General features: G+C 49.3%; 1 long non-coding RNA gene across 20 annotated transcripts in view, besides 6 other annotated features; it reads right to left on the bottom strand.

Annotated features, from left to right (window-relative positions):
• The window catches only part of MIAT (myocardial infarction associated transcript), a 30,050-nt gene that overhangs the window by 8,508 nt on the left and 1,204 nt on the right, over positions 1–20,338 (bottom strand). For 2 of the 20 annotated variants that reach the window (NR_185987.1, NR_185982.1), the window contains 2 exons: positions 4,573–4,655; positions 1,034–2,440 (listed from right to left, as the gene is read on the bottom strand). This is a non-coding gene — a long non-coding RNA (myocardial infarction associated transcript). Of the gene's footprint in view, positions 1–660; positions 787–1,033; positions 2,515–4,461; positions 4,656–7,154; positions 7,273–9,631; positions 9,789–10,316; positions 10,490–10,616; positions 10,714–11,816; positions 11,940–20,338 lie in introns of those variants that run through there. The other 18 variants (NR_185990.1, NR_185993.1, NR_185991.1 and 15 more) reach the window with 18 other exon arrangements.
• Positions 2,338–2,838: an enhancer, noted in NCBI's record as "H3K27ac hESC enhancer chr22:27061097-27061597 (GRCh37/hg19 assembly coordinates)". NCBI's record gives its function as "activates a minimal SCP1, AML or CMV promoter by ChIP-STARR-seq in naive H9 embryonic stem cells {active_cell/tissue: H9 hESC(naive)}" and the evidence as "EXISTENCE:reporter gene assay evidence [ECO:0000049][PMID:30033119]".
• Positions 5,907–6,886: an enhancer, noted in NCBI's record as "NANOG-H3K27ac hESC enhancer chr22:27057049-27058028 (GRCh37/hg19 assembly coordinates)". NCBI's record gives its function as "activates a minimal SCP1, AML or CMV promoter by ChIP-STARR-seq in naive H9 embryonic stem cells {active_cell/tissue: H9 hESC(naive)}" and the evidence as "EXISTENCE:reporter gene assay evidence [ECO:0000049][PMID:30033119]".
• Positions 10,320–10,369: an enhancer, noted in NCBI's record as "active region_18797". NCBI's record gives its function as "activates an Ori minimal core promoter by ATAC-STARR-seq in GM12878 lymphoblastoid cells {active_cell/tissue: GM12878}" and the evidence as "EXISTENCE:reporter gene assay evidence [ECO:0000049][PMID:35858748]".
• Positions 10,560–10,609: a silencer, noted in NCBI's record as "silent region_13576". NCBI's record gives its function as "represses an Ori minimal core promoter by ATAC-STARR-seq in GM12878 lymphoblastoid cells {active_cell/tissue: GM12878}" and the evidence as "EXISTENCE:reporter gene assay evidence [ECO:0000049][PMID:35858748]".
• Positions 17,726–18,527: an enhancer, noted in NCBI's record as "H3K27ac-H3K4me1 hESC enhancer chr22:27045408-27046209 (GRCh37/hg19 assembly coordinates)". NCBI's record gives its function as "activates a minimal SCP1, AML or CMV promoter by ChIP-STARR-seq in naive H9 embryonic stem cells {active_cell/tissue: H9 hESC(naive)}" and the evidence as "EXISTENCE:reporter gene assay evidence [ECO:0000049][PMID:30033119]".
• Positions 19,331–20,133: an enhancer, noted in NCBI's record as "NANOG-H3K27ac-H3K4me1 hESC enhancer chr22:27043802-27044604 (GRCh37/hg19 assembly coordinates)". NCBI's record gives its function as "activates a minimal SCP1, AML or CMV promoter by ChIP-STARR-seq in primed H9 embryonic stem cells {active_cell/tissue: H9 hESC(primed)}" and the evidence as "EXISTENCE:reporter gene assay evidence [ECO:0000049][PMID:30033119]".

Genomic DNA, 20,338 nt, shown 5'->3' with positions numbered 1-20,338 from the left:
GGCCAGGCACAGTGACTCCCACCTGTAATCCCAGCACTTTGGGAGGCTGAGGAAGGAGGATCACTTGAGCCCAGGAGTTCGAGACCAGCCTGGGCAACATAATGAGACTCTGTCTCTACAAAAAATAAGCCAGGCATGGTAGCATGCACCTGTAGTCCCAGCTACCCAGGAGGCTGAGGTGGGAGGATGTATTGAGCCCTGGAGTTCAAGGCTGCAGTGAGCCGTGATCATAACACTGTACTCTAGCCTGGGCAACAGAGTGAGACCCTGTCTCTGAGAAAAAGGAAAAAAAAGTTGTCTAAAAAGAGGAAGCAATGAAAGCTGAGAATACCCACCAGGCAGGGTTAGCTCAGGGGACCAGAGGAAAAGCAGTAAAGGGAGCCCATAGCAAGCTCCAGGAGCATCATGGGCAGAGACAGGGCAAGGGTTTGAGGGGATGGGAAGGACTTTCAGAGGCCTTTGATGGCTTCAATTCATTTTACAACATTCCCACTGGGAGGATCTCTGCACACCACCACCCCCAACATACACACACACGCGCGCATACACACACATACACGCGCACACACATGCACGCATGCACACACACACAGGCATGCACACACATGTGCACACGCACACACACACACACACACACTGCTCCCAGGACGAGGAGCTCACCCCCTTGCCGAGACTGTAATAAAGCGTGTTCTGACATGAAGATCTGAGCAGATGGGATCATGTCTCTGGGTTCACCTCTGCGTCCCCAGCATCTGGCTCAGAGAAGTTGCTTGGTCCATGCCGGTGCTGAATGAAGGGACTTGCTAAATTCTCTGCTCGAGCTCACCCACAATGGTCTTGATTCCATCCCACCCACCCCCACCAAGACCACACAGAGCAAGCATTCCAGCCACCTGGCTCCCTGGCCATCTTCTCATGAGCAGGAGCGTTCTGGGCCTGAGGAGGGGGCACAGGTGGGAGGACAACCTACCCCCATGAAACCAAGCTCCATGTGACCTCCCTCCCTCCCTCCCCACATCCCTCTCAGGCTTACCTGGCAGCATCCAGCCGACACACAGGCAGCCCAGGCTCCCAGCTCCTTCCTTCCCCACACAGACCCCACAGGCCCATCCTGGAAGACAAAAGAGCCAACCACACCGCAGGAGAAAACTGCACCCAGGCCCCCTCCCCAGGCCCAGGCCTTGCCAGAACTCCCTGCTGAAGAAAGAAGGACCAGGAGCCAGGGAGGCTGGGCCCAGGCACCCCACCCTCCACCTCTCTTTATTCCACCCCAGAACATCCTTAAAAGGTGAGGGGAGAAGGGTTCCCAGGTTCCCTTCACTCACTCCCTGTTTCCCAACAACAGCAGAATGTGACCCAGGAGAAAGTAGGACAAACTCAGCAGCTTGGTGATAGCTGAATAGCAGCTGAACGGAGAGTCAGGAATCCAGAATTCTGATCCCAGCTCTGCTCCTGCCACACTGGGTGGCCCTGGAACCCTTCCTGCCTTGACATTCACTCAAGGTGCACGGTAATCACCCATTGTTTGAAGCAATGGATGGGAAATGGAAGGGACCCTTCTGCCCAGCCTCAGTTATTTTTCTGCTCCCCCTCCTTCTCCCCTGCCCTTTCCTGATGCCCCATGCACCAGAGGAAATTCGGGGAGCCAGAGGCTGGACTAGGACTCTTTTAAGACCACCCTGTGTCACCAGTCTGGAGAAGACCAGAGAATGACCACTAATCCTGACCTAGGACCATCTGCCAGGTTTTGTTTTTGGTAACAACTGTGCTGTCTTCATCAACTGGCAGACCTGAGTCAGGAGAGTCAGGGAGCTCTCTCAGCATATCTTCAGAGCTTGCTGTCAGCACCCGGGAGTGGGGGCACGAGTCCAGAACTGGAGATGAGCTCAGACACTTACACTGAGAAAAATGCATCTAAAGTCACAGTGTTAACTCTTCACTTAACTCTAAGGCCAAGGAGCCCTGTCCAAGGTTTATAAATATGATCACAAAGTGCTGAAACTGAGAAGAGAAGGGCTGGTTCACATCATCAGGGAGTCCCCAGCCTCCTTCTAATAGCAGTTCTACAAGTACACAAGATGAAGTCATTTAACTCAGCCTTCAAAAGTTCCAGACGGTAATGTTTGTGAAATACTAGCCCTAACGCCAAATGTGAAGTGTGAAAATCACCCTTTCTGGGACCCCACAAAATGGGGACAGGCTCTTTCTTTCTTCCATAGAGGTAGAAAAGAGAATGAGCTACATCACCCATTTCCCCTCCCACTTTGGCATTCTAGGATACTACACTTTCCTGCACAGACCAGAAGAGGGCAGGCTGGTAGGCTATGGGCTGGTAAGTTTAAATACTTATCTGCAAAGATGCTTCTCAGTGTGGTTGTGAACGTCCTGAAGAACCTGGAAATTCCCTTCTGTCTCCTCTGTCCCAGGAACTTGCTGCTCTCTGTAAATAGACCCTGGACTGCTCAGAGGAGCCTGGCTTGATCCACAGTGACCCTTTCCCCTCGTTCTGTGGACCTAGAGTCATGATATTAATAAGGTGATGGAGGTTTCAAGGGACCTTTAGCTGACACCGTCTTAGAGGGTACAAAGGAAGGTATGGGCTTTGGGGCTAGAGAAACCTGGAGGAAACTGTGGCTCTCTCACTCCTACGTACTCAATGTGTGACTCAAAGTTAATTGTTTTTCTTTCTTTCTTTCTTTCTTTCTTTCTTTCTTTCTTTCTTTTTTTCTGGAGACAGGATCTCACTCTGTCACCCAGGCTGGAGTGCAGTGGCATGATCTCGGCTCACTGCAACCTCTGCCTCCTGGGTTCAAGTGATTCCCCTGCCTAAGCCTCCTAAGTAGCTGAGATTACAGATGTGTGCCACCACGCCCGGCTAACTTATTTTTTTTTTAGTAGTAGAGACGGGGTTTCACCATGTTGGCCAGACTGGTCTTGAACTCCTAACCTCAGGCAGTCCGCTGGCCTCAGCCTTCCAAAGTGCTGGGATTACAGGCATGAGCCACCACACCTGTCCAAAGTTAATGATTTTCAAAGCTTAGCCAGTGCCTGGCACACAGTACATGTTCCAAAAATTATTTTCACCACTCAATGATTTAAACTTTAAGTAAATCTGTGTGTGATATTTATGTTCCAGAAATATAAGCCATATTTATCCTGTAGCATTATATGTATATACCACAGTTAGGCAGCACTGATCAAATTAAAATCCCCTATCTTGATGAATGGAAAAGCAAAGTCTGGCTTATCCACATAAGGGAATCTACTCATCAATAAAAAGGAACAAACTATTAGTACATACTACAACATGGATGAACCTTACAAACATCATGCTGAGGGAAAGAAGCTAGGCTCAACAGAACACATATTGTATGATCTCATTTATACAAAATATCCAGAAAAGGAAAATCTACCGAGATGAGAAATAGATTTGTGGTTCCTGGGGTTATGGATGGGATGTGGATGAACAGTAAATGGGTATGAGAGATCTTACTGGGGTAACCGAACTGTTCCAAAACTGATTTATGGTGAAGGTTGTACAACTTGGTACATTTATTAAAAATCATTGAATGGGTGAGTTATATGACTTTTAAACTATGCCTCAATAAAATTGGATAGAACAGGAATTGAACTACTGAGACATGCAACAGGAAGTATGAGCCTCAGCTGGGCGCAGTGGCTCACACCTATAGTCCCAGCACTTTGGGAGGCCGAGGCGACCACTCGAGGTCAGGAGTTCGAGACCAGCCTGGCCAACACGGCAAAGCCCCATCTCTACTAAAAATATAAAAATCAGCCGGGTGTGGTGGTGCACACCTGTAATCCCAGCTACTCGGGAGACTGAGGCAGGAGAATCACTTGAACCCAGCAGGCGGAGGTTGCAGTGAGCCGAGATGGCTCCACTGCACTGCAGCCCAAACAGCAGAGCGAGATCTTGTCTCAAAAAAAAAAAAAAAAAAAAAAAAGCTGAACACAGAAGCTTCCATATATATGGAACATTAAAAAAAAAAAAGAATCCAATCTACTTCTGAGAAAGCAGGTCAGTGGTTTCCTGGGACTGGGGCTGGGACTGGGGCTGAGAGGGGATTGGCTGGGAGGGAATACAGGGGAACATTTTAGAACGATGAAAATGTTCTACATCCTGATTGTGGCAATGGTTACACAGGTGTATACCTTTGTCAAAACACATTGAAATGTGTGCTTTAAACGGGTGCATTTCCTTGTATGTAAATTATACCTCAATAAAGTTATTTTTGTAAAACTCATTTGTATGTGATGAAAGAGGACTGGAACTAAAAAGTGCCAGATCAAAGGCCGCACAAAGAACCAGTTGTGAGCACCAGGGCCTCATCATCTCAGCTTTCACTAGGCCACACAGACCACCCACTTCAAGCCAAGGTCAGTCGGGAAAGCCACGATTGGGGAACTGGAACCCAGAGGGTCATCAGAAGTCTCTCCCACCTTAAGATTCAGGAGGTCTCAGGACATACGGATTTCGTGATGGATCTGATCTCAAAGCATTAAGCTGGTCTCTACCATCCCCAGTGGACACAGGAAGAGAGGGAGGATCACCTTGGTTACCCCTGTGATGCCGACGGGGTCATGGTGGCCACATGAACGTGTCTGGAACCACATGGGTGGACAGATGCCTCCAACTGTCATCAAGAGAAAAAGAGACAGCAGTGAGAGAATAAATACATACCCATGGGTACAGTGGAGAATAGATGCTAAGGTCCTGTTTCAAATCACAGCGTTTCCCAAAACTGATCTCCTTGGATGCAGATCAAAAGCAAAACAGGAAACAAGGAGGTATTTTGATCAGGCCAGTGTCAACCAATACATCCTAACATGGGTTTTATGGCATGGATTCCTGTGCTGCTCTGCCACCGGCAAACTGTGTGACCTTGACCAAGTCCTTTACCACAGTGAACCTCAGTCTTCTCATCCACAAACTAAGGATAATAACAGTGCCCACCTCACAGGGTTGTCATGAGGATCAAATGAGAAGATGAATGAGACTTAGCTTGAATTCTACCATTTTCTTACATCATTATTATTATTATCACTGACCACACAGTTCATTAACACTACCCATGAGATATTCATTTTTCCCGCTAAACAGCATGTACTGTTCTTAGTAATGGATGGGCAGCTGCCAGGAAAACATACATTTGTTGCATTTTAGAATCCCTCTGGGTTTTTGGTCTTTTTCCCTGACTCTGGAATAAAATGACTACTCGGAGATCTGAGACGTACAAGAGATGTTGGCCCAAATTGCCTTGGATGAGCCAGCACCCAGAGATAACGGAAGCTCCAGAGAATAATGAAAATGTGCCACGCGCCTCGCAGGAGACATGCTGGGGGAAGCAGATGCTTCTGCAGAGGAGAATTAAAGCGCTGTTTCTTTACGAATTCAAACACAATGTCCACAAAAGAGGAGATTCAGAATTCAAATCTCCTTCAAACATGGGAACCCCTGCAGTGGAGAGAGAGGAAAGAAAACCAAGAAGAAGGAAAAGAAAGCTAAACTAACACTTATTAAGAACAGATGCTAATTGGGAGTGTCTTTATCTACATGGCAAAACAAGCTGGGTTTTATTATCCCCACTTTACAGATGAGGAAACTGAGGTTCAGTTAGAAAATAAGGCAACCAGGATTCTAAACAGGCCTCTTGGACCCCAAAGGGGCAGAGGGTGTATTCAAATAGGGGCAGGGACTGGGCGCAGTGGCTCACACCATAATCCCAGCACTTTGAGAAGCAGAGGCAGGAGAATTGCTTGAGGCCAGGAGTTCACGATCAGCCTGGGTAACAGATCAAGGCTCTGCCTCTACAAAAAATTCAAAAATTAGCTGGGCGTGGTTATGTGTACCTGTGCCTGTGGCTATTTGGGAGGCTTCAACAGGAGGACCGCTTTAACCCAGGAGGTAGAGGCTGCAGTGAACCGCGATTGCTCCACTGCATTCCAGCCTGGGTGACAGAGCAGATCCATGTATATGTGTGTGTGTGTATATATATATATATATATATATATATATATATATATATATATATGGATCTATATAGATCCATATATATATGGATTAAATGATAAAAGATCCAAGGAAGGTATATGTAAACTGCAAACTCGATGGCCATCTGCATTACTATTACTGTGAGAAAACTGGCCCATGATTGATAAATCATCTCTGTTCAGTTTATGCCGGTTGCTTTCACAGTCTGTAGGCAAATGATTGAGTTCACTTTTAGGAGAGTGGCATAGTGTAGTAGTTACAAACACATGTTTCAGAGTCAAACAAGATACGGGTTGACATCCTGACTGCACAGCTAATTCGCTGCGTGGCCCTGGGCTCATCACTTCACCTCTCTGAGCCTGTTTCCCACCTGCAATGCCTAATCCCTGCCTTATCATGGAGTCTCCATGATGCAGCACTCAGCAAGAACCTTGGTAAACGGTAACAAAGTGGTAGTTAGGGTTAGTTACTACTCATCATCTACTCCACACCTTTGAGTATACAATAGCTCAGCACCCGCCTCCCTTCCATGACTCATCTGGTAGCTTCCAGAGGGGCCCACCTGGCACCACAAGGGATAAGGGGACACCTGCCTCATCTGATCTGATCAGAGTGGGATGGGATAGGGAGACAGATGTCACTCTTAGCCAGACTTCACCTCTGCTCTTGAGAATCTCTGGCTATTGTTCCTCGGAGCTCAAGCTGACAGATGAGTCAGGCCTCAGAGACAAGGGAAGGGATCCTCTTGAAACAAAGACTGGCCTACAAGTTATTCACCAGCCCATTGAATCTGCACAATGGACCCAATGCCCCAGAAACACGCTGCTCGAACAGGCTAATAATCACCCAGGAGACAAACCAGCAGCCTCAACAGAAATAAAAGCAAATCACTAAGTATCCATACAAGACTCAGGGGCTACATAAGTGAACTCAGCTGACACCCAGTGGGTGCACGATAACATTCACTAGCTTTAGTAAGCACCTACAGGGCACCGAACATGCACTGGTTCATAGCCTCACGGCCGCTTTTTAAAACCGGGATTGTGATTGCCACTTTATAGATGAGGAAACAGGCTCAGAAAAGGGAGATTACTCCCTGACTGAAGTGGACACACATGGAGAGAAGGATTTGCACACGGACCTGCGTAACTCTCAGCTGCTTCTCTTTCCACCACTCTGCACTGTCTTGATGAATAAGTAAATTCAAAGAGTGTAATCCTGCCCTGGGAAGAAGCATGGATCACAGCCAGAGAAAGGACCTTAAAATGAAGACGCAGAAGAAAAGAAAAATTGGAAACAACTAGCAGGACCAACAATAGGGAACTGACGAAGTAGACCATGCTTATCTCCTCCATGAAACACTGAAATCTCTCATAATGATTTCTGCAAAGGTCGTAATAACATGGAGAAACACATCTGATGTAACTTTTCAAAAGCATTATACATATAATGCAATTTCTTTTCTTCTTCTTCTTCTTTTTTTTTTTTTTTTTTTTGAGATAGTCTCCGTCACCCAGGCTAGAGTACGGTGGTGTAATCTCTGCTTATTGCAACCTCCGCCTCCTGGGTTCAAGTGATCCTCCTGCCCCAGCCTCCAGAGTAGCTGGGCTATAGGCACATGCCACCATGCAGTTAATTTTTGTATTTTTAGTAAGACAGGGTTTCGCCATGTTGACCAGGCTGGTCTCGAACTCCTGACCTCAGGTGATCCACCCACCTCAGCTTCCCAAAGTGCTAGGATTACAGGCGTGAGCCACCATGCCCAGCCAATTTCAATAATAGAAAATATACCAGAGAGAAATACATGAAAATGAAGTTTTCAGGTCAGGTGTGGGGGCTCACGCCTGTAATCCCAGCATTTTGGGAGGCTGAGGCGGGCAGATCACTTGAGGTGAGGAGTTCGAGACCAGCCTGGCCAACATGCCAAAACCCCGGCTCTACAAAAAATCCAAAAATTAGCTGGGCATGGTGGCACATGCCTGTGGTCCCAGCTACTTGGGAGGCTGAGGCACAAGGATCACTTGAACCCAGGAGGTGGAGGTTACAGTGAGCCAAGATCACACCACTGCACTCCAGCCTGAGCAAAAAGTAAGGCTCTGTTTCAAAAAAAAAAAAAAGAAAGAAAGAAAGAAAGAAAAAGAAAAAAAGAAAATGGAGTTTTCTTTTTTTTTTGTCTTTTCTAAATCCTTTACAATTATCATGCATTTTATTAAACTTATTGAATTTGTCTTTTAAAATCGGAAAAAATTATAAAAATTCTCATTTATTTTTACTTATTTATTTTAGAGACAGGGGTCTCACCATGTTGCCCAGGCTTGGCTTGAACTCCTGGGTTCAAGCCATCCTCCCGCCCCAGCCTCCCAAAGTGCTGGAATTGCAGGTGTTAGCCACCGTGCCCAGCCCAAAATTCTCATTTTTAATGCAAGCATAGAGAATTATTCTCCTAAAGCTGGCGGTAAGGGGTTATGGTTGTTTTGGGGGACTGTGAAGACTTCACCACTCTTCCCTGTTAAGGAGTAGGGTTAAGGCTTAAAATGAGTAGATTTCAGAACAGTTCTCAATGGCAAGGATCACTAAATAGTAAAATAGGCGGGCATGGGGGACATGGAAGGTGTTTACATAAAATGCTTTCAACATGAAATTAACCAAACTTAGAGTGGGATCAATTCAATGCCACACAAAGCTAGGAGCTGGCAAAGTGTCCGGAAATGGTTTGCCCAGGCTGCTGGATGATTCTGCCTAGAAAGTTGAGGGGCGAGGTGGGGGCACTCTTCCCTCAACCAAGCATCTGCCCACCTGCAGGATGAGGATGAGGAGGTCTGAGTAAACATCAGATACCCAGCCCCACCCCAAACCTGCTGACTCATCCTCCTTGCCACGTGGCTCAGACATCTGCTTACTGGAAGCAACGCCCCTAAAGTCTGAGAACCACCGTCCTCAGGTTTCCCTGTCTGTCAAGTGGAATTACTCATCCCTGCCCTGCGTCTACCCCCGCCTCCCTCCCTGGGCCATCGCGGGGCTCCCAGATGCTCCCAAATGGGAATGCGCTTTGCAAAGCACTGAGTCCAGAGCAAGTGTTTTGCTTTGAGTCGTGCTCAGTCCCAGCCTGGCCCCGAGAAAAAACAAAGCCGTTCCCTCAAGTTCTCTCGCAGTCCTCCCTCTCATACTTCCTCCCCTCCCGCCGCAGCAGGTGGGGGCGTTTTCCCCGCGGCGGCACTGCAGTGGGGTGTGCGCGCCAACAATCCCAGGCGCCGGGCAGCCTCGGATCCGGAGCCTGGGATGAGGGTGGGGAATCCAGGGCGCGCCCCCCAGGCCTCCTCCTGCACAATCCCAGAAACAATTTCTCTACCCCAGGGCCCTCCGCTGGAAGAGGGGAAAGGTCTGGCCCCTTTCTTCCCAAATCCCCAGCCTCTCCAGGGAGTGTCCTGGAGCCGAGGAGAGGTAGAGAGAATCGAGCTGGTGGGTTGCGGGATCTCCTCAGACCCTTTAGGAGATGCAACATGGGCTTTAGAGTCCTACATATCTGGATTCACAATCACTGGCTGTGTGACCTTGGAGGTGTCGATAACCCTCTCTGAATCTCCATTTCTTCATCTTTAAAATGGGGTTGTTTCTTACCACCTCGTGGGACTGTTGTGATAACGCTTGCAAAGCACCAAGCACGTCCCTGCGTAGAGTAACCTCTCCATAAACTGATGTCACTGTTGTTTTCAACGAGGGTGGGTTACCTACCAGCCCTCTCCATCCTTTTGGAGCCAAATTTGACGCCGGACATCTGGGAAGTGAAGGAATGGCAGGCTCGGGGGGTTGGGTCGGGGGCGGGCTGAGTATGAGGGAAGGGGAGCTCAAGGACCCTGCCCCACCGCCCCACCCCCACCTCCAGTTCCGAGACCCTCTGGCTCTGCCCGTGGCTTGGCCAGTTAATTGCTAACCTGGTGGACCGAGAAGGTCCGCGGGTCCACCTCCCAAATTGTGTCTTGTGTCGTCGGAAGGAAAGGGTCTTTGTTCCCCCTCATAATCATGATTGCAAGATCCCCATTCGCACTGGACTCCTAAAGCATCCTCCCCTTGCCTGACCTCACCCCCCATCCCAGCCAGAGTCTTGGCTGTGTTTGAGAATTACAGGCTGTAAAGCCTCTTCATCCATCCAATGCGGGACACTTCAGGCGGCGTTGCATCCCTGAACCCAGCCCTGGGACTCTGGGACCTACCCTCGACCCCAGCCTTGGGGAATTAGGCTGTTCCCCGTTAGGGGACAAGGACACTTGGGAAGGAAGGCTTCTAGGATGGGGCGACGTCTTACCTCGGGTCCGCGGTCCTGCGGCGCTAGTGCAGAGGGCTCTTTGTGCCCCGGCTCACAGCGCAGAACTGGGGGAGCCCCTGCAAGCGCCTCCCATCTCAAACTCCTCCCCGCACTCGTCCGCAGCCTCCCTCCCTCTGGTCCCGCGAGCGCAGCCGGCGTCGTCTTTGTAGCTGCTGCAGCGCCCATGAAATTTTAATGCGGGAGCGGCTGGCGGGCGGAGGCGCCCCACCCCCGGCCCTCACCTCCACCCTCCTCCCGCCTCCTTGCGCCCCTACAACCTCACACCCAACCCCTCCTTACCCGCGCCCAGAGTCCTGGCCAGGAAAGCGGGGTGCAACCGGTCTTGGAGGGAGCACTCCGCAGCCCCCGCCGCACAAAGGGGCTAGCTGGCCGGTGCGCTCAGCCTCCCGCATCCCCACCCGCGGCGCTGTCATGGCAACGCTTGCCCGTCCACATTAGGCCGCAGAGAGCTCAGGGCTGGAGAGGCGCGGGGGCTGCGCGCGACCGCGGACCAGGGGCGCAGAAGCCTGAACCCCGGAGTAAGAGGACAGAAGACGCTTGTTCTGGCATAGCGCCAAGGGCTTAACCAGGAAGACCTCGGGTGTATGCCTCTTTATGCACATGGTTATGGTGGAGTCCAGATTTGAACCCATAACTGTTAACTTCATGCGTGTACAGCATTTGGCCTAACAACATTTATAGGTTTAATCTTGAATTTTTTATTATTATTTATTCTTATTGTTTTAGAGATGGGACCTCACTCTGTCACCCCGGCTGAAGTGCAGCGGCACAATCATAGCTCACCGCACCCCCCCGAACTCCTGGGTTCAAGCAGTCCTCCTGCCCCCGCCTCAGCCTTCGGAGTAGCTGGGACTACAGGCGCGAGCCACCGCGCCCGGATTAGTCTTTTATTTAACTGCCCTCTTCTTAGTACCTACTATTTTCTAGAGTAGGGATGCTAGGAAGTGGTCCTGAAGTAGTGGTTCTAGAGTTGCAGCATCCACATTGCTTGAGAACGTGTTAGAAATCCAATTCGAGGCCAGGCGCGGCGGCTCACCCCTGTAATCCCAGCACTTTGGGAGGCCAAGGCGGGTGGATCACCTGAGGTCAAGAGTTCAAGACCAGCCTGGCCAACATGGTGAAACCCCATCTCTACTAAAAAATTAGCCGGGTGTGGTGGCGGGTGCCTGTAATCCCAGCTACTCGTGAGGCTGAGGCACTAGAATCACTCGAACCCGGGAGGCGGAGGTTGCAGTGAGCCGAGGTCGCGCCACTGTACTCTAGCCCGGGTGACAAGAGCCAGACCCCATCTCAAAAAAAAAAAAAAGAAAAAGAAAAGAGGCCGGGCACGGTGGCTGGCTCACACCTGTAATCCCAGCACTTTGGGAGGCCGAGGCAGACAGATCACCTGAAGTCAGGAGTTCGAGACCAGCCTGACCAACATGGAGAAACCCCGTCTCTACTAAAACTACAAAATTAGCCAAGCGTGGTGGCACATGCCTGTAATACCAGCTACTCTGGAGGGTGATGCAGGAGAATCGCTTGAACCGGGTAGGCAGAGGTTGCGGTGAGTCGAGATCATACCATTGCACTCCAGCCTGGGCAACAAGAGCGAAACTCCATCTGAAAAAAAAAAAGAAAAGAAAAGAAAAGAAAAATACAATTCAGGCTGGGTGTGGTGGCTCACGCCTGCCTGTAACCCCAGAACTTTGGGAAGCCTGGGGGACAAGCTTGCTTGAGCCCAGGAGTTCCAGACCAGCCTGGGCAACAAAGCGAAACCTTATTTCCACAAAAAATACAAAAAAATTAGCCAGGCCTGGCGGTGTGTGCCTGTAGTCCCAGCTGCAGTGAGCCCTGGGGAAAGAAAGGAAGGCCCAGACATCTATGTTTCAGTAAGCCCACCAAGGAATTCTGATGCACACTCAAGCTGGAGAACCACTGTGCTAGAACATTCCAGCGACCTTCAGAACCAGACTATTCCGGGTTTACATTTCAGTTCTGCCCATGCCTCTGACCAAATGTGACCTTAGGCAAGCTCCACACCCTTCCTCAGTTACTTGTCCATAAAGTAGAGATAATAATGGAATCCACATCATCAGGCTAAATGAAGGAAGTGTGATTAGCACAGTTGCTGGCACCTAGTAAGGGCTCACGACATATTTATATTATTAAACTACAACATCTCTTTTGTCACATTTCTGTGAATATTGTTTATCATCTTCATCGCTCACATAAAGAGGCTCAGAGAGGCAATGAGAGCTGCCCACAGACACCGTAAGGCACTCAGGTAGATTTAAGCCTGTCCTTTTAGATTCCAACTTCCCCAGCTTTCTCTGGACTACACATCTGTTGCTGGGACCAGCCCTGGTCTTCAGAAAATACAAACCCAATTCAACAAACCTATAAAACATTTCCAATGTGCCCAGCCCAAGACCATTGCAGGAAGCTTGAGAGTCCCAAGGAGGCTTTAGACACAGCCTCCTACCCTGACAGAGTTAACAGTCCTGCCAGGGTGGTAAGACCCATGTGAAAGAGTTAGAGAAAAGGCAAGGCAGTGTGTGGTCACAGCATTGCCCAGAGTATGCAGCCCACTATCAGGGTGGGACCAATGTAATCACAAAAGTCCTTTTTTAAAAATGTTTTGGCCGGGCGCAGCAGCTCACGCCTGTAATCCCAGCACTTTGGGAGGCCGAGGCGGGCGGATCATGAGGTCAGGAGATCGAGACCATCCTGGCTAATACGGTGAAACCCCATCTCTACTAAAAAATACAAAAAATTAGCCGGGCATGGTGGTAGGCACCTGTAGTCCCAGCTACTCGGGAGGCTGAGGCAGGAGAATGGCGTGAACCCAGGAGGCGGAGCTTGCAGTGAGCCAAGATCACGCCACTCACTCCAGCCTGGGCAACAAAGTGAGACTCTGTCTCAAAAAAAATTTAAAAATAAATAAATAAATAAATGTTTTGAGACAAGGTCTTGCCCTGTTGCCCAGGCTGGAGTGCAGTGACAAGGATCATAGCTCACTGCAGCCTTGAACTCTTAGGTTCAAGGGATCCTCCTGCCTGAGCTTTTGTCATCACACAGGTCTACGACTTCCCCCTAATTCACCAGTCTAGTCTCCCTAGACACAAACAAAAAGGGAAATATAATTTGGCATGACACATTCTAACTGAATACAGGGGATCCATAGAGGTCACCACTTCCTTTCTTAAGTATTCCCAAGCCACCTGTTTTATAATCCATTCCCAAATTCTCCTGACTGTCAGTCTATCATTTCCAATATCTACTTGGAAAAAAATGAAGCCACCTGTTCACCCCAAACTTTCACACTTCATCCTATACCCTGGGGCTTCTTAAGGATGAGCAATAGTGAATCTATGATCCTATCTCCAAGTATCTTTGGTTCTAGAGATATTATAATCAAACTTAGGTTTGGCTGCTCACTGCTTGAAAGCCAGACACCAGAGATAAGGGCTGATGGGAGGAAAATCAGGTTTACTTAAAGAGCTAGCAAAACCAAGAAGTTAATGGACTATTTATTGTTCTAAAGTACCATATTAAGTCATATTAAGTCAGTACAAATTTTATGCTGTTTTTATGCTAAAGTCAAGTGGAAGAGGCTCACCGTGGTGGCTCACGCCTGTAATCCCAGCACTTTGGGAGGCGAGGTGGGCGGATCACCTGAGGTCAAGAGTTTGAGACCAGTCTGGCCAAGCATGGTGAAACTCTGTCTCTACTAAAAATACAAAGATTAGCCAGGCATGGTAGCGTGCACCTGTAATCCCAGCTACTCAGGAGGCTGAGGCAGGAGAATCACTTGAACCTGGGAGGCGGAAGTTGCAGTGACCTGAGATCGCACCACTACACTCCAACCTGGGCAACAGAGCAAAGGGGAAGAGAAGGGAGGTTGAATTGGGATCAACAGATGACCAATTACCACTGACACCTGGGCACCAGTGAGGGTCCAAGAAGGTTGTGAACTTCTTTGTCCTTGGTCAGGTCACAATGCTTTTATAAATCTTTCACAAAACATAGATGATTTACATACTTCTCCTTTAATCCCAGAGTTAGTTTTTAAAAACTACGTGATTGCTTTTTTCTGCATATTATCTCAGTGCTCTAAAATTATCCTAGCCTACGTACAGGAATGGGAAAAGGCCCCTTAAACAAAAATTGAGTTAGTTATGTTAGTTCTTTTGCTGTTTCGCTGTTACAAAATCTTTTCAAGGCAAGCAGTGGGGAGGTGGCGGAGGGGAGCAAAAGGGGTGACCATTAGAGGATACCGTGGCTCACTGCAAATAGACTGTAACTCAGATGGACTCGGGACAAGCCGTGAACTGAGTAACGCAAGGAAGGAGTGGACCCTCATGTTCAGCAGATGCCAATACCTGTGTGGCCTCCTCTGCTCCCAGTTCTCTAACATGGTACATTTCTGCATCATGGGGTAGACCAGACTAGCCCTTCTGGGGGATTCAGCTGGTCCTTTGCCCTCATTTTGCCCATCTGTTGAGTGCCTTTGTGGTGAGCAAAGTCTTCCCTAGCATCTTCCATTTCCCTACGGAGGGTTGGACATCCTTTGCAGTTCATGCTTGGTTTGAGAAGTAGAGCTGGCATCCTTCTCTCCTCCCCATCAATGTAACTGTGACCCTCACCTTATCCTGTGGGTAGACTTAGGACATATGCTAGGAAGAGCAAGCCCCGAGATGGTAAACACCTTCCAGGAAACATGTGTAGGGCTAACTTGGACCCCAGGAGCCCATAAGATAAGAGTACCCCAAAGAGACACGTCAGTATTCCTGCTCTGCATGATACCACTCTGAAACCCCAGATTTCCAGGAGAATTCTGACACTGACAACATATCAAGGAAAGGGGAGCCTGAGTCTCTCTTCTCTTTAGTCCTAGAACAGCCCTTGGAGAAACAAGAGTGGCTCTGGAGGCCAGGGTTCCCATTGCAATTCTGTTATCAGCCCACTGGGTGCCTCTTTAAAAAAAGAGAGAGAGGGCCAGGCGCAGTGGCTCATGCCTGTAATCCTAGCACTTTGGGAGGCCGAGGGGGGCAGATCACAAGATCAGGAGTTTGAGACCAGCCTGACCAGCATGGTGAAATCCCCGTCTCTACTAAAAATACAAAAATTAGCCGGTCATGGTGGCGGCGCCTGTAATCCCAGCTACTCAGGAGGCTGAGGCAGGAGAATTGCTTGAACCCGGGAGTTGGAGGTTGCAGTGAGGTGAGATCATGCCCACTGCACTCCAGCCTGGGTGACAGAGTGAGACTCCGTCTCAAAAAAAAAATAAATGAATGAATAAATAAAGAGAGAGAGAGATAGGAAATTCACATAATCTAAGGTCGGGCACAATGCCTCACACCTGTAATTCCAACGCTTTGTCAGGTTGAGGTGGGAAGATCGCTTGAGTCCAGGAACTCAAGACCAGCCTGGGCAACATAATGAGATCGACCCCCGGCTCCACCGCATCTCTACAGAGACCTTTTAAATATTAGCCAGGCATGGTAGTGTGTGCCTGTGGTCCCAGCTACGTGGACGGCTGAGCAAAGAGGATCACTTGAGCCTAGGCGTTAGAGGCTGCAGTGAGCTCTGATTGCACCACTGCACTCCAGCATGGGCAACAGAGCAAAACTCTGTCTCAAAAAGAGAAAGAAACAAACAGAAAAGAAAGGGAAGTCGCATCCTCTAAAACTAACCATTTAAAGCGTATGATTCAGTGGCCCTGAGTACATTCACGATGTAATGCTGCCACCAGGTCTAGCTAGTTCCAAGACATTTTCATCACCCCCAAAATAACACCCCACACCCTTAAGCGGTTACTTCCCAGTTTCCCCTCCAGCCCATTGTCATATGTGACCTTTTGTGCTGGCTTCTTTCACTCGGCATAATGTTTTTGAGGTTCATCCACATTGTAGCATGGCTCAGCACTTTATTCCTTTTATGACTGAATAATATTCCATTGTATGAACAGAACACAATTTATTCATCCATTCATCCACTGATGGACATATGGGTTGTTTCCACCCTTTGGCTAATCTGAATAGCGCTGCTATGAACAGGCATGTGCAAGTATTTGTTTGAATCCTTCTTTTCCGTTCTTTTGGGTACGTACCTCTCTGTTCCACGTTTCCTTTTCTATTCCCCCACCTTGCCTTAGTCAGAGGGATTATGGAGTCAGTAGCAAGGTGGGCTTCCTCACATACACCCTCCCATGTTCCCAGCTCCACTTCTCTGCCGGGCCACACCTGTAGCCCTTGGAGGAAGGGCTCTGGGCAAGGCCAAATTTTGTCTTCCCTCCAGCCATGTTACTGATGGAGACTGGTCCATCAGGGGATCAGGGGATCTCTTTTCTGACAGCTGTCCCCTGAGCAAACAGCTCCTGGTTTTACCCAGATAGAAAATCTCATTTGAGTCATCAAAGCGGCCATCTTTACCTGTGGTGAGCATGGGGCTCCCTGAGTTCAGCAGTGAGTGATTGTAGAGCAGAGGAGAGGAGAGCTGCATTTGGTATGGCCCAGAAAGAATGTGCCTTTCAACAATTCCCTGAAACTACAAAATTATTTCCCTGCCACCCCCTCCCCGGCCCTGTAATCACCATCAGATGCAATGAACTTGACCCCTTGCCCACTTACTTGCCAGAAGACTTTCCAAGTGCTTTACCCACACTCTGTCTTAGCACCCTCTAAGGAAGTATCGGTGTCATCTCCAACTGGTAAGGAAAGCGAGGCTTAGAGAGGGAAAGTGACTTATCCGAGGTCAGCCAGCTAGAATGTGTGTAGTAAACCTGAGATTGAAACCCAGTGCTGTCTGATTCCAGAAGCTGCCCTCAGACTCTCTGAAAACCCATCTGCATCATCCTGAATCCTTTTTTCCCCTAGGAAGGGATGTACCACCCCTCAGCCAGCTGAACAATGACCCCACTGCCATGCTTGGGTCACTCCAGGGTCTGTTCATCTGGGCATGGGCTCAGGATCAATGCCATGGTCAACTAGAGCTCAGTGGTCTCCAAAATCTTATCTCTGTCCTGCCCCCAGTGGCGCCTAAATGTGTGAAAGTCAGCAGTCTCTCTAGATAAAGGATAAATGGGGATTATAAGCCTGGATCACCCCAGATACAGATCCTGAGACACGGATTCAAATGCAAGTTGTTTATTTAGGAGGTATTGGTACCAGGAAGCCTTGGTAAGGGAGCAGGTTAGGGAGACAGGGAAGAGGAGAAATCTGGAATAGGTACATTAAAGAGGATACTTGTCAGCAAGGACAGTCATAACAAAATACCATAGACTGGGGTGTCTTAACAAACAACTTAAGGAGGCTGGAAGTCCAAGACCAAGGTAGAAGCAGGGTCAACTTCTCCTGAGGCCTCTCTCCTCGATTCACAGATGGCAGCTTCTCACTGTGTCCTCATGTGGTCTTTTCTCTGTGCACACACAACCCGGGTGTCTCTCCCTCTTCTCATAAGGACATTGGTCCTGTCAGATTAGGGTCTCACCCTTTCTACCTCATTCTACCTTAATTACTTCTTTAGAGGCCCTATCTTCCAATGTAGTCACATTGGGGGTTAAGAATTCAACATAAGAATTTGAGTGGAGAGAGCACAATTTACTCCATAACTATGAGCAAGTTGTTAGCGACTAGAACTCAGTCCTGCTGAGGTCTTCTGGGAGACTGTCGGACACACCCGACATGTCCTACCCCAGGTCGAGGATGTCGTGGAACTCCTCCACTCACTTTTTTTTTTGAGACGGAGTCTCGCTCTGTTGCCAGGCTGGAATGCAGTGGCATGATCTCGGCTCACTACAAGCTCTGCCTCCCAGGTTCAAGCAATTCTGCTGCCTCAGCCTCCCGAGTAGCTGGGACTACAGGCGCATGCCACCACACCCAGCTAATTTTTGTATTTTTAGTAGAGACGGGGTTTCACCATGTTGGCCAGGATAGTCTCAATCTCTTGACCTCGTGATCCACCCGCCTCAGTGTCCCAAAGTGCTGGGATTACAGGCGTGAGCCACTGTGCCCTGCCCTCCACCTGCTTTTATCTCTTATGGTTGAAGGATGATCCCTGGACATCAACTTCTTGCCACCTCCAGGCTGCCCCTTGCACAGACCAAGCATGTGCCCTCATCCAATTGACACAACAGCTCCCATGAGCTGGGCACTGTTGTCTGCCTTGGGCACACAAGGAAACAGGGTTTGAGAAGTGATGGGCAGCACCCGGGGCCTGGTCTCCTTCAGTCTGCAGGAATAGTGGGGAGGAATCCACCAGGGACTGCCAGGCTCTTTGCCACCTGACACTCTGTCTTGTTTCCTTTCTCTGCCTTCCTCCCAGCCAGGGCGGGCAGTGAATACATGGACTCAGGAGTCAGACAGAACTAAATTTGAATCCCACCCTTGCCCCTTACCCACCATGTGACTTTGGGTAGGGAACTTCAACCCTCTGGGCTTCAGTTTCCTCTTCTGTAAAACGGAGATTACATAACCTCACTTGCAGGGCTTTTGAAAGAACTAAGTGGTCTGAGTGCAGAAAACACATGGCCCTGTCACATTGCTCAGTAAATGCTCTCTCTCTCTCTCACATTAGTATGAAATATGACTTTGAACTATTATTTTTCTGAATTTTTTCCTCCTTCCTGTGAATATTCTGTGGTTCCTGCTCCCAGTTTTTGGGCCTCATGCAAGTGATTTGACTTCAGCCTGGTAGTCTCTCTCTCTCTCTCTCTCTCTGTCTCGCTCTCTCGCTCTCTCCCTCTCACTCTCTCTCTCTCTTTCTCTCTCAAGGCCATTAGAGACTCCCCACAAGACCTAGAGTTCTTATACCTGGTTAGTTATTATAAAGGATCTTAGAAGCTAAACAGACACCAACACTGTCTGCAGTGCACACACATATCAAGTCCAGTCCACAGACACAGTTGCTGTTCTTTCTGCGTGAGCAGATGCTGTTGCTTTGACTATAATTCAGGGCAGTGTAGATACTCTACTACATTAGCGGCACTTAAAAAAAATTATCAGGTCTTTTCTCCATTGGCAGGACCTGAAAATGTATCCTCTACTTTATGGAGTCTATGACCCATTTTCCATTAAGACAAAAAAAAAAAACAAAACCCCATCAAACTATGAAAGTCCAGGGACCACTGGTTTCCCCCAGCATCTGTATTTTATGGTGCACACAGCAAGGCTCAGGAGGCCAGGAGACCTTGCCTGAGGTCGCAGGGAGCCTCCCCCTGCCCCCAGGCTCCCTGCTCCATGCACCTCGCCTCTGCCTCTCTTTTGTCTCCAGCGTGTGCGCTTGCCTACGTGCGTGCAGGGCCGTGTCTCCATCCCTGCTGCTTCTTTGTCTGGCCTTTTGTGTCCAGACAACAGAGAAGCGGGGCAGAGTGTGTGTTGCTCTCATCCATCTGCAAACAGACCCCCTCCAGACGCCCTGCACCTGCTCCCGGGCCCTCCCAGTCGCCCCAGCAGGTGCTGCAGCCTGGCCATCCTCTCCCTGCTGCAGTGGCTTCTGCTACTGCTTCTGCTGAGGCTGAGAGAAAGGTGCAGACCGCAGCCGCCAGCACAGCGGCTGCCTTCCCTCCTCCCCGCCCGCCTGCCGCCACCCCTCTCAGCCACAGGAGATGAGTCTCATCTTTTTTCCTGTATGGACAGCTGCTGACAGAGCCAGAGATGGGGCTAGAAGGAATTGGGATGGGGAAGACAAGCTCTGCAGGAGACTTTACAAAAACACCCTTCCTCCAGTTTCACACTCACCCTTCCTTCTCCCACGGCCCCCACACCCAATGCACTCCAAGCCCCATCGATGCTCTGGAACATTCCGCCAAGTCATTCCCCCTCCCATCCCACCAAGTCACCACCACCATGGTCCTGGCCCCCAACATCCCCTACTGGGCTTCCCCCCAGTCTGTTCTCCTTGCTGCAGCAGCCTGAAGATTCTGGAAATGCAAAGCTGACCTCATCACTCCCCTGCTCGCAGCCCCTCTGGTCTCAAGATGGAGAGCAACCTTTACCTTCCCTTGCAGCCTTACCCTG

The sequence above is a fragment of the Homo sapiens genome, chromosome 22 (genome assembly GCF_000001405.40).
Source record: "Homo sapiens chromosome 22, GRCh38.p14 Primary Assembly".
Classification (NCBI taxonomy): Eukaryota; Metazoa; Chordata; class Mammalia; order Primates; family Hominidae; genus Homo; species Homo sapiens.
This window is presented reverse-complemented; position numbering and strand designations above follow the sequence as displayed.